Consider the following 16,356-nt stretch of genomic DNA (forward strand, 5'->3'; position numbering starts at 1 on the left):
TTTATATATCTTGTAATTCTTCGCTATTCTAGTTGAATCTGAGCCAAGAATAGAAACTCAGTACATTTATTTTCTGGTGACTTAAAGAGAAAAAAGGAAAAGTTTTGTGTAAGTAAAATAGAATGTATTTACAAGAACAGACTGCTTTTCTTTAAAACTGCTTCCAAAACATTTGTTTCTGAACTTTTTTTTTTTTTTCCAGATGGAGTCTTGCTCTCTCGCCAGTCTGGAGTGCAGTGGCGCAATCTTGGCTCACTGCAACCTCTGTCTCCCGGGTTCAAGAGATTCTCCTGCCTCAGCCTCCCAAGTAGCTGGGACTACAGGCGCCCGTCACCACGCCCAGCTAATTTTTTTGTATTTTTAGTAGAAACGGGGTTTCAGCATGTTGGCCAGGATGGTCTCGATCTCTTGACCTCGTGATCCACCCACCTCACCCTCCCAAAGTGCTGGGATTACAGGCGTGAGCCACTGCGCCCCGCCGGTCTTTTATTTTTTAAACACTTACTATGCCATGAATTCATAGGGAATATGTTCCAGCACCTCAGGCTTCTTCCTACTGGTTCTCACGAAGTGTGCTTTTCTGGGCAGTGCAGGCTGGCACTTCAGTTGAACCCCAGGTACTTTTCTCTTTGTCTTCTTTAGTTTTCTGATAATTTTCCTTCACTTGTTTCAGGAAGCTATCTTGGCTCTTCACGTGCTTAACATGCCCAATACACACATTAATTCTCTTGGCAAGAATCTTGCCCTTAACTTGTTTGTTTACAACAAATGCCAACAGCATGCTGGGGAACATTGTAGACTCTTCCAGTTTAGCCATGGTGACACCTGTGGGGCATTCCTTTTTGAACAGTACTCATTCCCTTGATGTCTATAATATCACCTTTCTTCTAGATTCGCCTGTGCACGGCCAAAGGAACAACTCCATGTTTTCTAAAACTCCTGGAGAACATATATCGGGTGCCTCTCCTCTTTCACTTTGTGTTCATCATTTTGGTGAATTACTGGAAGATGGCGGTTCCCCTGAATCATATTTTGAATGAAACTTTAAAAGAATATAAATGTATGGTAATAAATATTTGCTGTTTCATAAGAATGTTTATTTAACAACAAAAGAAAGGACATCCATCATCCTGATTTAGTTCCATCATTTTTATTATTATTTTTTTTTGAGACAGAATCTCATTCTGTCGCCTAGGCTGGAGTGCAGTGGTGCGATCTCAGCTCACTGCAACCTCTGACTTCCGGGTTCAAGCGATTCTCTTGCCTCAGCCTCCCAAGTAGTTGGGGCTACAGGCACCCGCCACCACACCCAGGTAATTTTTGTGTTTTTAGTAGAGATGGGGTTTCACCATGTTGACCAAGATGGTCTCGATCTCCTGACCTCATGATCTGCCCACCTCAGCCTCCCAACATGCTAGGATTACAGGTGTGAGCCACCATGCCCAGCCAAATGTTCTTAATTTTTTTTTTTTTTTTTTTTTTTGAGACGGAGTCTAGTTCTGTCGCCCAGGCTGGAGTGCAGTGGCACGATCTTGGCTCACTTCCACCTCTGCCTCCCAAGTTCAAGTGATTCTCCTGCCTCAGCCTCCTGAGTAGCTGGGATTACAGGCATGCACCACCACATCCAGCTAATTTTTGTATTTTTAGTAGAGATGGGATTTCACCACATTGGCCAGGGTGGTCTTGAACTCCTGACCTCGTGATCTGCCCACCTCAGCCTCCCAAAGTGCTGGGATTACAAGTGTGAGCCACTGCGCCCAGCAGTTACATCTTAATTCATTAATTTTCATTAGCTATTATGTTCATGACATTTACAGTCCATAAGCTACCAAAGAATATATAATGTAAAGTGTCCCTCTCAATCCTGTCCACCAATCACCCAGTTTCTCTCTTGAGACACCAAAATTTTCATTATTTTCAGTATCTTTCCAAATAAATTTAAAACAAGTAACTAAATATTACATATACATTTCTCCTTCTTTAAAACAAATAGTAGCAAACCATGGTGTTCTTCATCTGGCTTTTTAAAAGATAACAATATATATTGATAGTCATCCCATATCACTACACAAAGAGCTTCCTCTTCTTACAGCTGGGTAGTATTCGCTCCATGTTTATTCAGTTGCCTGTTAAAGGACATTTAAGTTGATTCTAATATTTTGCTACAAAAATACTATATTCAGTAACCTTGGACATATATCATTTTGCAAACGTGAGAATATCTGTAAGAATACACGTCTAGAGGTATAATTTCTGGGTTAAAGGGTATATACATTTTTAATTTTGATAGCCATTATTAACTTGTCCCCCATTGAGCTGTGCCAATGTACATTCCCACCAGCTATGTAGAAGAATGCCAGTTGCCCACACTTTCATCAATATATTGTGTTATTAAACTTCATCTGCTAGATAACTGAGAAATTATATCTCAATGTGGTTTTAATTTACATCTTTTTTTTTAGACAAATCTTCCTCTGTGGCCCAGACTGGAGTGCAATGGCATGATCACAGCTCACTGCAGCTTTGACGTCCTGGGCTCAAGTGATCCTCCTGCCTTGGTCTCCCAAAGTGTTGGGATTATAGGTGTGAGTCAATGTGCCTGTCCGCATCTTCGCATTTTTAAAGAGACATTTATATTCCTTTTCTGTGATCCACTTGTTAATTTTCTTGGCCTAATTTTCTATTAGGTTGTTGTTCTTTTTCATGTTGATTTGTAGGAATTTTTTTTTTTTTTTGAGACAGAGTCTTGATCTGTCACCAGGCTGGAGTGCAGTGGCGCGATCTCGGCTCACTGCAACCTCCGCCTCCTGGATTCAAGTGATTCTCCTGCCTCAGCCTCCCAAGTAGCTGGGACTACAGGCATGTGCCACCATGCCCGGCTAATTTTTGTGTTTTTAGTAGAAATGGGGTTTCACCGTGTTAGCTGGGAGGGTCTCCATCTCTTGACATCGTGATCCACCCACCTGCGCCTCCCAAAGTGCTGGGATTACAGGCGTGAGCCACTGTGCCTGGCCAATTTATAGGAAATTTTTATTAGTGAAATTAATCCTTTATCCATGTTATAAATTGAAACATTTTCCCAGTTAGCAGTTTGTCTTTTGACTTTGCTTATTGTGTTTTTTGCTAAGAGAATTTTTTAGAAATTTCATCTTTTGACTTGTGTCGTTCTTAGAAATGATGGGCTTATCTTATATCTTCATGGTTTCTTATTTTTTCTTTAATACTAAGATTTTTGATCCATTTGGAACTCATCTAGATTTAAAGTTTGAGCTATGGATTCAAGTTCACTTTTTAGCAAATTTCTACCTTTATTTGAGATCTCACCTTTAATTATACTATATTCTCAAAAGTATTTGAGTCTATTTCTAGTCTTCCTAATTAGTTTTGTCACCTAATTTAGGTTTTTTCATTCTTATGACATTTCTCTCCTGCTCATTAACATTTTTTTGTTGGGTATTCTTTATTTTGCTATTAATTCCAAATGTCAGGTAACTTAATTCTTTTCAACATTCTAAAAACAGAGAATTTCCTATGTGTCTAACAATAATTTTTCAATTATTCTATATTGCTGATAAAGTGCTTCATCAACTACTAACAGAATTTAGTTGCTGATATCTGATGGTTAGAGTAAGACAACAAACCTGTATGGAACAATTTGGAAAAGAGTAAGGCTTTCTTGAGCTTTGATTGGTTGAATTTGATGTGCTGGGACCAAAAGTGACTGACAGATGGTCACGAGAGTTCATGTTTTGGTAACTCCTCTTGAAATGAACATATATTTCATTTTTAGTTTATAAGAAATATAATGTCGGCCAATGTCCTCTTCATTGGATATTGTAGATGAAATGCCTCAAAACATAATGTTGTTCACTAGGGTGGCTATAATAGAAAAGCCAGATAATAACAAGTGCTGGTGAAATTGTGGAGAAATTGAAACCCTCATACTCTTAGTGGGAATCTGAAATGATGCAGCAACTTTAAAAAGTCTAGTAGTTCCTCAAATGGTTAAACATAGAGCTACCATAAGATTCATCAGTTCCACTCCTATGTATATACACAAGAGATCTGAAAATATATGTCCACAGGAAAACTTGTACAAATGCTCATTGCAGCATTATTCCTAATAGCCAAAAAGTGGAAGTGACCCAAAATGTCCATCAATAGACAAATGGATAAACAAAATGTGATATATCCATACAATATAATATTATCCAGTCATAAAAAGGAATGAAACATTGATACATGGTACAACATAGATGAACGTTAAAAGCATTATGGTAAGTGAAAGAAGTTAGATACGTATTGTGTGACCACGTACTGTATGATTCCATTTGTATGAAATGTCCAGAATTGGCAAATATATAGAGACATAAAGTAGATTTGTAGTTGCTGAAAGCTAGGGGTAGGGGCAGTTGGAGTCCAATGGGGAGCAACTGCAAAGGGTATAAAGTTTCCTTTCGGGATGATAAAAGTGTCCTAAATTTGATCGTTGTGATGGTTGCACAACTGTGAATGTACAAAAACCACTGAATTGGCCGGGCGCGGTGGCTTACACCTGTAATACCAGCACTTTGGGAGGCCGAGGCAGGCGGATCACAAAGTCAGGAGATCGAGACCATCCTGGCTAACACGGTGAAACCGTCTCTACTAAAAATACAAAAAATTAGCCAGGCATGGTGGCGGGTGCCTGTAGTCCCAGCTACTCGGGAGGCTGATGCAGGAGAACGGCGTGAACCCGGAAGGCAGAGCTTGCAGTGAGCCGAGATCAAGCCGCTGCACTCCAGCCTGGGCAACAGAGCAAGACTCCATCTCAAAAAAAACAAAAAAAACCCCACTGAATTATATACTATAAGTAGGTGAATTATATGGTATATGAATTATAGCTTCATAAAACTTAAACACAATGAAACAAAACAGTATTATTAAATTCAAACCCAATATTGTTACCTAATCTCAAAAGCAAAACCAAACCCACAATGCCCTCCCCCAACTAATTATTAAATTCCACAATCTTGAGTTAGCCAGAGATGCTTGTTGTGGTCTCACATAAGACCACATTTGATACATGCCTTTGCATGTGAGGCCCTTTCTTGGCTACGCCCTAGGTGATTCCTTTCTTTTAGATACATTTCAATAAGTCATTATTTTTATCAGAACCTACCCAGTAAGATTATATTAGTTGGACAAATTCAGACTTAGTTGTTAGAAGTTACAGTACTTGGTTTGTTATTTTGTTCTAGCGAGTAATACAATTTAGCAAAATGTTTAACTTCTGTGTGACATTTTTAGTTTTGTTATGTTTTTTATATTCCCTAATATTTTATTTTAAAAAATTTCAGACACACAGTGGAAAAAATTGTAGTTAGTAGCAGTCTATCCACCACCTAGATGTCACTATTAACATTTTATTATGCTTGTTTTAGCATATCTCTATCCATCTTTCTATCCCTCTCGCCTATCATTCAACCATTTTTTCAAAGTAAATTGCAGATATCAGCATTATGTCCTGTTAAATACTGCAGGACTCCTATAATTAGCTAGAGTTTTATATTTGTATTCCTTTTTTTTTTTGAGACAGAGTCTTTCTCTGTCACTCAGGCTGGAGTCCAGCAGCGCGATCTCGGCTCACTGCAACCCCTGGCTCCCGGGTTCAAGCAATTCTCTTGGTACTCAGCCTTCTGAGTAGCCGGGACTATAGGCATGCGCCACCACACCCAGCTAATTTTTGTATCTTTAGTAGAGACAGGGTTTCGCCATGTTGGCCAGGCTGGTCTCAAACACCTGACCTCAAGTAATCTGTCTGCCTTGGCCTCCCAAAGCGCTGGGATTATAGGCGTGAACCACCACACTCAGCCTGATATTTGTTTACAGGTTTTTCTTTTGATGTAAAATTTACATACAATGAAATGCACAAATCTTTAGCATATATTTGCTGCATTTTGACAAGTGCTTACCCTTGTGTGACCCAAACTCTTATCAAGGTATAGAATATGACCGTTACCCCAGAAAGTTCCTTTTTCTCCTTCCCAGTTAATCTTCAAGCTTCCTTCCCTGTATTTTACTTGTTTATTTCTTTTTATTATTATTATTTCAAATTATTTATTTATTTTTTGAGATGGAATCTCCCTTTGTCTCCCAGGCTGGAGAGCAGTGGCACGATCTTGGCTCACTGCAACCTCCGCCTCCTGGGTTCAAGTGATTCTCCTGCCTCAGCCTCCTGAGTCGCTGGGATTACAGGCATGCGCCACCATGCTCGGCTAATTTTTGTCTTCTTAGTAGAGATGGGGTTTCGCGATGTTGCCCACCTTGGTTTTGAACTCCTGACCTCAGGTGATCCACCCACCTTGGCCTCCCAAAGTGCTAGAATTACAGGCATGAGCCACTGTGCCCAGTCCTTTTTTTTTTTGTTCCAGTGAAGTTAGAGCAACAGAATACAGAGTATGTGGACAGGTTGTGGGTGTAGTTCTTGCAGAATAGAATCCTATACTTCCGTAATATGTTTGTATTTGGTCAGACCATGGTATTCACTAGCATAAATGGTAGCATGGTATTCACCTTTTGTAATGACTTAGAGTGAGGTATTTCCATTCTTTTACTCTTATAAATAATGTTGTCATGAACATTTTCTTATAAATCTTTATACATATGCATGATTATTAATAGTCAAAATAGTAATATTGGCCAGGTGCGGTGGCTCACGTCTGTAATTCCAGCACTTTGGGAGACCAAGGCGGGTGGACCACCAGAGGCCAGGAGTTCAAGACAAGCCTGGGCAACATGGTGAAACCCCATCTCTACTAAAATTACAAAAAATTAGCTGGGCATGGTGATGTGCGCCTGTAGTGCCATCTGCTTGGGAGGCTAAGCCATGAGAATAACGTGAACCTGGAGGTAGGGGTTGTAGTGAGCTGAGATCATGCCACTGTACTCCAGCCTGGGCAACAGAGCAAGACTCTGTCTCAAAAAAAAAAATTAGTAACATCTTCTTTTATCTGAACCAGATGAAACTTTGGTTCTTTAATGGCATGAACTGGTCAAAGTTTCTCACAGGCCCTGTATTTCCAATTAAATTCAGTGCTCGAATGACATCCAGAAACCTGCACAGCTTGCAGCTCTCTGCCTGAAGAGGCAACATCCGTCACTGGGTGGCCTGGTCCTGAGCCCTTGGCAATTTGAGGGTGGGCGTTTTGCTCAAAGACAATTGCTAAGGCTATATGGAATATCTGGTGACTGTTCCATCCAAATAGAGGTGTCTGACCTTGTTTCTTTCCCAGAGGCTGAAATTGGGGTCCTAAGGTGAAATCCAGTTGTAAATTACTTTTTCTTTATTTGGAATGTGAAATGAAAAATGTATTCTTGAGGCTGGGTGCAGTGGCTCACCCTTGTAATCCCAGCATTTTGGGAGGCTGAGGCAGGCAGATCACCTAAGGTCGGGAGTTCGAGACCAGCCTGAACAATATGGTGAAACCCCGTCTCTACTAAAAGTAAAAAATTAACCAGGTGTGGTGGCACATGCCTGTAATCCCAGCTACTCGGGAGGCTGAGGCAGGAGAATCACTTGTGCCCAGGAAGCGGAGGTTGCAGTGAGCCGAGATCGCGCCATTGCACTCCAGCCTGGGCAACAAGAGCGAAACACCATCTCAAAAAAAAAAAAAAATGTATTTTTAGTCTAACCATTGACATATGTATCATAAAAAACAAGCAAGCTAGATTTCTCAACAAAGGTTCTCTAAGCAAGGAATACACAGACGTTACTCTTTCTCTGCAGCCTCTTTCAGGATGGGGGACTTTGATATTGCCATACATTCCTCTTAGAAATCATCTTAATTTGTTATTTTCATCTACTCTAGTGGGAAGATAAAATCACTACATGGCAGAGCCAGGAGTTTCAGGCCCATTTGGGGATTTCCTCAAGGATATCTTATAAATGTAAATTTGCTGGTTATTCATATGTATTGCTTAATTGCCTTCCCGTCTCCCCAGTGATTATGCCAGCTACCACCATTATTACTAAAAAGGTTAACTTTTTTTAAGCAATTCATTTTTCTGAACTGTGTATTAGTTTGCTAAGGGATGTCATAGCAAAAGAACCAATAAACAACATAAATGTATTTTCTCACAGTTATGGAGGCTGGAAGTCCAAGGTGTAGGCAGAGTTGGTGTCTTTTGAGGACACACTCTGTGGCTTGTAGATGATCATCTTCTCCTAGCTCTGTGTGTCTGCATCCTAATCTCTTTATAAAGACACCAGTCCTATTGGATTAGGGCCCACTCGTATGACCTCATTTTACTTTAAAGACCCTATTTCCAAATATAGTCCCATTCTGAGATGCTGGGGGTTAGGACTCCAACATGTAAATTTGGTGAGGGAGCAGAATACAATTTAGTCCATAAGAAATCATAAAACACAAATATGTAAGAGAAATGTGAGCATAAGAAAAAGTTAAAAAGCTCATACATAGCTTCCTCAGTTGGAACAAATCAAAGTGCTTTCTTGTTTTTGCCATATGCACATCTAATTATTGGCTCTTACTAGTTTACAATACCAACAGCAATGCAAGTATATGTCAGTTTTATCACAAACTCAGAATTAGGTATTCTTAAAAATAAGATTAGTTATATTTTTATTGTATTTCTCTTTTAATTCAGTTTCCCAATTTCCCTTAATGAATTTGCTAGGTTGAAGGTTTTCCTATATATATATAAATATAACTATATATATACATATTTTTTTTAATAGATGGAGTCTTGCTCTGTCACCCAGGCTGGAGTGCAGTGGCACAATCTCGGCTCACTGCAACCTCTGCCTCCCAGGTTCAAGCGATTCTCCTGCCTCAGCCTCCCTAGTAGCTGGGATTATAGGTACCTGCCACCACACCGGCTAATTTTTGTTTTTTTCTGTATTTTTAGTAGAGACAGGGTTTCACCACGTTGGCCAGGCTGGTCACTAACTCCTGACCTCACGTAATCCACCCGCCTTGGCCTCCCAAAGTGCTGGGATTACAGGTGTGAGCCAACATCCCCAGCCTTCTTTAATATATGTTATTTATAATATTGGATGTGTGTGTGTGTGTGTGTGTGTGTGTGTGTGTGTGTGTGTGTTTAAATTAATTTTCTAGTAGTTGCCTAATCTGTAGTGCTGCTTCTAGGATTTCTATTAAAAGAATATATATTAAATTCTTATTAAAGGCCAGTTATGATGGCTCATAATTAAGATGCCCTAGGAGCAACAAGAGCTGGGTGGGCTACTGATTTCCAGATGGGAATCTGGCCATGTTTATAAGACCTGGACTTGAAGATATTGGGCAGCCAACGAGGCCCATGGAGGAGAATTCTGGCGGGCTCTCCACTGAAGTACACCTACCTGCTCTCACCTTCAATTTGCCTTTAATGCCTCTCCACTTGATGTTTACGGCTAGCCACTTTTAGGATCTGAGCCATCAAGATGATGGATGAAATTGGGTTTGGAACAAGAAGGCAGGGCTATTTTGACCCAGGACACATTTCCAACATGCTGTGAAGAACTCTCAGCATCAAATAACATCTGGGTGGAAGAAGTTTTGGGAAAGAAGTCTAGCTGTAGATCACACAATGCTTCTAAATGGGAGAAAATGTCCAGCTCCATGGCTTAGATTCTTTGGGAAGTAGGATAACTGGCTATTCCATTTTAGGCAAGGCTGCCTGGCCAGAAACCCATGTCTTACCATTTCGAGTACATTATGGTTGGCTTACAAATCGTAGCCTCATAGAGAACTTTTTCTTCTTTTAGCTACTGTCTTCCTAAAATAAAAGTCTCTGTGCAAAGCAATGGAAGAAACCTCATATTGTTTTTTGGGGTTGTCATTTTATGTAACTTACAATAATGACTACGGCTCGTCTTATACAAGATGTAAAGGATTTGGGAGAGGGAATCCAGTGTGCATTTAGGGGAAGATGGTGATGTAGATAGCATATTTCAGGAGGCTGGGAAGTGTCGAGTGCTTAAATATATGCTTCTCAAATTTAATGGGCATACAAATTACCTGGTGGTATTATTAAAATGTAACCTCTAATTCAGTAGTTTTGGGATGGGTCCATGGACAGCACTTTGGTTAGTTCCCCTTGGGACTCCCCTTTCCCCTCAGAGAAGTGTAGAGGGTTGGGGTATTGGGCTTAAGAGGAGTTCCAGACTGTAACCATAGCTCTAGGTAACTCCCTTCTGGAAGTGATGTGTTAGCGACTGGAGGAGAAAGGGATCCCTGGGATCCTTTTCAGCTTTACTATTCTGATTTGGGGTTCTGAGATTCCAACAAAGTGGACTTTTGGGAGTCACAGACCTCCATGGGAATGATGAAAGCTGCGTACCTTCTTTCCGCACAAATGCAGGCCCACCTTTAATTCTGCAAACCACTTTAGGCCCCGCGGGCCCGCAGCCCTGGTCCAAGACAGCTGTCTGCTTCACAGGTCGCGCACCCAGAGCCGGGCGGTTCTGCAGCTCAGCATCTGGCCCGGGCTGCGCGTCGGGCTCTGGCGGGGGCGTGTCAGGAGGCGTGTCCGGGGCGTGTCGGAGGCGGGGCCAAGGCGGGGGTAAGCCTCGCCCCTCGGCCGTGCGAGAGGCCGAGCTTGCTGCATTGCAGCCGCCGCGGCGCCGCTCGGCTCTTCACTCCCAACAATGGCGGCTCCGAGCCCGAGCGGCGGCGGCGGCTCCGGGGGCGGCAGCGGCAGCGGCACCCCCGGCCCCGTAGGGTCCCCGGCGCCAGGCCACCCGGCCGTCAGCAGCATGCAGGGTAAGGAACGCGGCCGCGCCGAGATCCCAGCCCCCTAGCGCGGCAACCCGCGTCGTCGCGGCCTGCCCCAGCGGACGCCCCCGGACCCGGCTGAGGAAGCCACGGCAGCCGCCGGCTTCTCCCTCTCTCCCTCCCCGGCTTCCCGCCCCGCTCCCGGCCGCCTCCGGCCCGGCTTGGATCCGGGCTCCGGCCCGCATAGGCCCCGGCCGCGGCCTCTGCCTGCGCTTGGCCCCTGGGCCCTACCGGGCTCTCAGCAGGCCCGCAGGGCCCACCTGGTCCGGGACCGCCCCCGCGGCCGTCCCCATCGCCCCCGCCGCTTACCTGGCGCCCGCCCGGCCCCCGTTTCCGGGAACGCGCCGGCTCGGGGCTGCGGCGGAGCGGGAGGGGCGTCGGGCCTGCCCCCTGGTCCCTGACGCCGCTCAGGTAGGCGGCGAAGACAGCGGCCCCGGCCGGCGCCCCTCGGCCCCGCCGCCGCAGTGGGCCCCGCTCAGGGCCATCTTGGCTGTCGCCGGGCACAGCTGGAGCCGGACCACCGAGCTGACCTCGGGCTACGGGGGCCTCTTGGAACCTGCGTTTTCAAACTTTTGCAGGGTTTCTGTGCGCTGGAAGGGATGGGGGTGGGGGGCGGGTTGCCCAGGCCTGTGCCACCTGTAAGGTAGGTAGGCTGCATTGGCCTGGGAGAGGCATTTTGTTCCAGGCCAGGGATTTCTGTGTTAGCATTGCGTGCAGGAAGAAAAAAAAAAAAAAAAAAAAAGAAGACTTAATTTGGTTTAAATGGAGAGATACAGGAAATAGACAGGGGTCAAAGTGATACTGTAGTGTCTGGACATTTGAGGCAGCTCTGCTAATTAATGACTTTCCCCACTGGGAATGCTTATTAGCTGTGTATGGCTTTTGACAGGGGGTGTTGTGAAAATACCAGGCCAGGCCCGAGCCTGTTAGGGACCATTTCCTTAAATTTACTGGGGAATTTTGAGTAGTAATGCTATTTTTAAAACAGGGAATCTCAGAACTCTCTTGACAACTTTAGCAAACTGCTTGTGTTGAATTATTAACAGAATAAGGGTTGGGGTACCCTTGGTAGTCAGTGTGACCATGGTTACTTTTTGATTCCATTCCTCTTAAAGGGCTTCTAGCATTTAGTTAGGTTCAACAGACATTTATTGAATAGTTCATGTTTATAGAGCATGCCATAATTCAGAAAGAAGAGACAGGATTTTATTTATCTTTACATCCCTGTCACCCTCCCCATGAAATAATTTTAATATACATAAAAACCAGTGATAGATATATAGACAGGATGATGTCAGAGCTTAGAGGACACTTTCTGTGCAGGCCCTCAGATAATTCATTCAAATTGAATTAGTTATTGGATGCCCACTGTGTTGCACAGCACATTATACTGATGAAGTATAAGATTGACTTCCTGACTGTACAGCTTTACAATTTAGGTGGTGGTGGTTGGGGCGAAATGAAATGGCAAAATGACAATTTAGGATTGTATTTCTTGTTCCAGATGGGTGACTTACAAAGCTTATAAAAACAAGGTGATTTGTTTGTTTGTTTTATTGGTGGGGAGGCTGACAGTTTGAAATAGCTGGATACAGTGTGTTTTTTTGGTTCAAAAAATATTTATTGAGCATCTGCATAAAACGCTCATGCTGAGTTTATAGAGAATTGAACATCTCTAACTGTCCTCATGGAGGTTATCCCCCTGTGAAGATGGGGGAGGGAAGGCTATTTAGCTAAACATGAAAAATTACTAGTTGGAAAAGTAATAAAGGTAACAAGCTGGGTTTTGTGATAGAAGATAATAGAGGGCAGTCCGCTTGATAAGATGGTCAGAGAAGGCTTGTCTGGAAAGCTAACCCTCTTTTACCTGAAGACGGTTCTAGGCAGAGGAACTGTGTGTATGAAGGTTCCAAAGCAGGGAAGAGCTTGGAGTGTTCTAGGAACTCCTAAGGCAGTGGTTAGGACTTTTTCTGATGCTGTCCGTTCTCCTCAGCCCTTGTATGTTGATACCCAGTTAACTAAACTTTCTAATAAGCAGAACCCATTTTAGAAGGAAAAAGGACCTAAGACCTCTCTATGAATTATTGCCGAATTTTCTTTTTTATCAATATTGTGTCTAGTCTTGATTGATTCAGGAATGTGTTATATCTTGTTCTTGAAACTTTTTTCATTAGTCAGAATGAAGTGCTTGATATTCTCAGGATGTTGTCTAGAACAGTCTGTTATAAAGCTTGAACTTAAGCAGCAATTTAGGATCCTTCTTTTTGGTTTGTTTTGTTCTGTATCTTAATTGTGAGGCCCTTGAAGAGGAAATCTTATAAGAACCCAAAAAGAAAGATTCCCATCCAATTGTATGGGAGTCACACCTCCCATACTGTACTTCATCTGCCAAGGGTCTTCTTTTGCTTTAGATCAGACTTCACAGAGTGGGCCTTAGAAGATGTTTGATGTACTTCCATTCCTTCTCCCCCAATCTAATTATACTTGCCACTCAAAAAACTTCCTTTCTGGGAGTTGTTAATGACCATGCTCTCTGAAACAGCAGGATTCAGTTGTGGAACATAAGGAATGTTTCATGCAGTAGACATTGGACATCCTCTTATGTGGTAAGCACTGTGGTGGGCACTGGATAACCTTGAATACTTTTTCATGGCTTCATGTTTATGGCCCAAGAGTGGTCCAGGCTGGCCAATATTGCTTTCTTAATATACTGCTTAAGAACCAGAGCTCTGGAGTTCTGGGTTTGAATCTCTTGGCCAGGATTCAGATATGCGTTTTGTGACCAGGGGCAATGAACTTGGCCTTTCGAAGCCTCAGTTTCTCACTTGGAAAGTGGGAATAACGCTTACCTCCCCGGTGGCTTTGAGAATGCATGTAAGCCTGGGACCTGACATGTAGTAAGGATGCAATACACATTAGCCATCATTGTTAGTAGCGACAATATTGTTATGGTCTCATTAATGGTCCCTTTTACTATTGGTAAATGAGTCCCTAACCTCTCATTATTTACCACACAATTTCTTTAGTTCATATTACTAGGTCCCACTGTTCTCTCTAACCTGTTGATTTCCCCACTTTTCATTATTGAGCAGTCCTTTCAGAGTATCCTAGATGAGATTTTATTCTACTTCAAACTCCGGATCTGTTTTTTTCTGGATCTGAGGACTCTCAAATGAATTACAATGTGAACGATATGAAACAGAAGTCTAGCTATCAATTTGCTCTACTCATTTTTTTCATAGGGGATGGGTAGATGGTTGGAATGGGATTTATAGTGAATTTGATTATAAGAGTAATCAACAGACGTAGCTTTGGTTGCATGTTTATGCTAACAGTTATGGCTTCTAATCTGGCCATTTTTGCCACTGTCCCTCAGATAATAGGGAATAGCTGCTAATTTTGTTATTACTCAAAAGATTTGAGTGTCTTCACTCATTCTGACTCATTTTTTTTTCATGTTCATTCACAAACACACCCAACCTTTATACGTTGAGTAGTTCTTAGGCTTTGGTTCTTTGATGACTAAAGCTAACAAAATGTAGATCTGTTTGCCAAGTTAGGTAAGTGGTTTTATGAAAGTATATTTGGCATTAGGATGAGTTTGCATTTGAGAGAGGAAACAATACTCAAATTAACTACTCTGAGAAATGTTTTTATTCTTAATGTTTCATCAATAATTTGTTAATGTAGATAGATTTAATAGGAAAATTTCTTGCATATTAGGGCCTCATTCTGTGGAAAAGTATTATTCTTTAGTCCAAGAAATTTTAGCCAACCTAAAGTACGGAATTGACTTGTAGCATTCAAGAACCTTCCTAGCCATGGCTAGGGCTTTCCCTTGTGGCAAATCTAAAGCCTCGTGACTTTAGCTGGGTTAGTGTGAATCCTGTAAAGAGAAGATCCCGTTATACCAGGTAATTAATCTTAGATATGTATAGCAAATAGTACTAGATAGTATGGTTGGCATGTTAGAGAATAGCATATTCTGATTAATAGAGCTTGCCAGTTGAGAATTCAACAGCTTCTATAATGAAATTGCATAGGCAGGATGATTCCTTTTCCAGTAGTAGCTGTAGCAGCTAGCGTTCCCATAGCATGTAGTAATGTTTAAGAAACAAAAGGATGTTGAAGTGTAAAGAGCACTGGACTTAGACTCAGAAAACCATGGTTAAGGTAACTGCTCTGCTGTTTACAAACACTGAGATTTTAGGGAAATTCCCTAACTTTTCTCAACTCTCTGTTCAGAAATTTCTCATCTGTTAAAATAGGGATAATGCCTAACCTGTAGGGCCATTGTAAGAATCACATTCTTAATGCATGTGAAAGTGCTTTGAAAATTATAGAATATCTATAAGTATATACAGATTGTTATTAGACATGATTATTTGCCTGCTGTAGCTACTAATCACTTAAAATGTAATAGATTTCAAAGATCGCTTAGCTGAGAAATGTCAGTTTTCAATAGATGTTTTCTTAAAATGGTTAGAATAGAATCTATAATTGATTCAGAAAAACATTGAGCCATTTGTAAAATACTTGTTACAAGAAATAGTTAGAAAGTATATGTTGTAGGTGCCTCTGATTCTCTTAAAGTTCTGATTTACAGAAAACTTTGTGACCAGTCGAGTCCTTAGCTATTTACCCTTAGCTGAGCATTTTTATGTATCAGTTTAAGTAGAAAGATGATAGCTTGATTCTGCTTTAGAAAACACGCCCAGTACTTTAAAATGTAATGAAGTATATCTGTTAAGAAAAAGTCAAGAGATTTAAAATCAATGTAGTTATTTCTCCCAAAAATATTTGAATATAAAATGTATATGAAATGTCCTGCTTTTGATTTTGTTTATCTGTTTTTACTAATTAGTCTGGTTTTCGAGAACCATGGGAGACCTTTATCTTAATTTTAAAGAACTGATTTGTGCAGACAGTGAAGAGTTTCAAACCCCAGAACTGCTTGCCCTTCCCAGTGTGTTGCATAACATTTCTTTTACTGTTTAACATAACCTCATACAAGTTCACCTCAGCAAATTAGTCCCCCCTCAAAGCTCAGACTGCATTTCTTCTTATGTTCCCTTAAAAATTAGAGCAACCCTAGTATTAAAGTAAAAAAGTGGAAAAACATCTCACCTCACTTTTAGAATACATATTTTCTCACATTTTCCTTTAAAATACCTTACTAGCCTGAATGTGTGCTGAAACTTGTTTAAGATGGGATATTAGTTAACCCTGTATTTTGAGTCGTTTTCTTTTTTCGTAAATTTTTCTTCTTTCACTAATTTGAGAAGCTGGATTGATGTGAGCCCATAGAGTTTCCTTATTTTTAGGGGTCTGGATATCATAATCCTAACTCCATTCTACATAATCGAGGTCAGTCTCCTTTGTAGTCTCTAGGAAGTGCAGATGGCTCCAATGATACAACCTGAGAAACTTTAATTGAGGCTTAAAAAAGAAAGGGAAAGTAACAGTTAACAACTTTTTTCACTGTTCCTACCTAATTTGATGCTCACAACCACCCTTTAAAGGTAAGTGGACATAGTCCCCTTCATAGATGAGGGGGTAGACGTTTATTTGTTCCGGA

At 41.6% G+C, this 16,356-nt stretch overlaps 2 protein-coding genes and 1 pseudogene across 6 annotated transcripts in view, besides 3 other annotated features; 1 reads left to right on the top strand and 2 right to left on the bottom strand.

Moving 5' to 3' along the window:
* The window catches only part of ZNF18 (zinc finger protein 18), a 44,089-nt gene extending 32,797 nt beyond the window's left edge, over positions 1 to 11,292 (bottom strand). The window contains exon 1 of the mRNA XM_024450911.2: positions 11,088 to 11,292. The gene's annotated coding sequence lies outside the window, so the exon portion shown is untranslated. The remainder of the gene's footprint in view (positions 1 to 11,087) is intronic.
* RPL21P122 (ribosomal protein L21 pseudogene 122) lies at positions 481 to 1,019 on the bottom strand (annotated as a pseudogene).
* Positions 10,442 to 10,942: an enhancer, noted in NCBI's record as "H3K27ac hESC enhancer chr17:11923994-11924494 (GRCh37/hg19 assembly coordinates)". NCBI's record gives its function as "activates a minimal SCP1, AML or CMV promoter by ChIP-STARR-seq in primed H9 embryonic stem cells {active_cell/tissue: H9 hESC(primed)}" and the evidence as "EXISTENCE:reporter gene assay evidence [ECO:0000049][PMID:30033119]".
* Positions 10,442 to 11,358: a biological region, named in NCBI's record as "H3K27ac hESC enhancer GRCh37_chr17:11923994-11924494".
* Positions 10,479 to 11,358: a silencer, noted in NCBI's record as "silent region_8205". NCBI's record gives its function as "represses an Ori minimal core promoter by ATAC-STARR-seq in GM12878 lymphoblastoid cells {active_cell/tissue: GM12878}" and the evidence as "EXISTENCE:reporter gene assay evidence [ECO:0000049][PMID:35858748]".
* MAP2K4 (mitogen-activated protein kinase kinase 4) overlaps positions 10,642 to 16,356 on the top strand; it is a 122,952-nt gene continuing 117,237 nt past the window's right edge. For all 5 annotated transcript variants that reach the window (XR_007065381.1, XR_007065382.1, NM_001281435.2 and 2 more), the window contains exon 1: positions 10,642 to 10,766. Coding sequence is in view for 3 of the 5 variants with exons in the window: in NM_001281435.2 (NP_001268364.1) it covers positions 10,652 to 10,766 (115 nt within the window). In the remaining 2 variants the exon portion in view is untranslated. The remainder of the gene's footprint in view (positions 10,767 to 16,356) is intronic.

Source organism: Homo sapiens, chromosome 17 (assembly GCF_000001405.40).
Source record: "Homo sapiens chromosome 17, GRCh38.p14 Primary Assembly".
Taxonomy (NCBI): domain Eukaryota; kingdom Metazoa; phylum Chordata; class Mammalia; order Primates; family Hominidae; genus Homo; species Homo sapiens.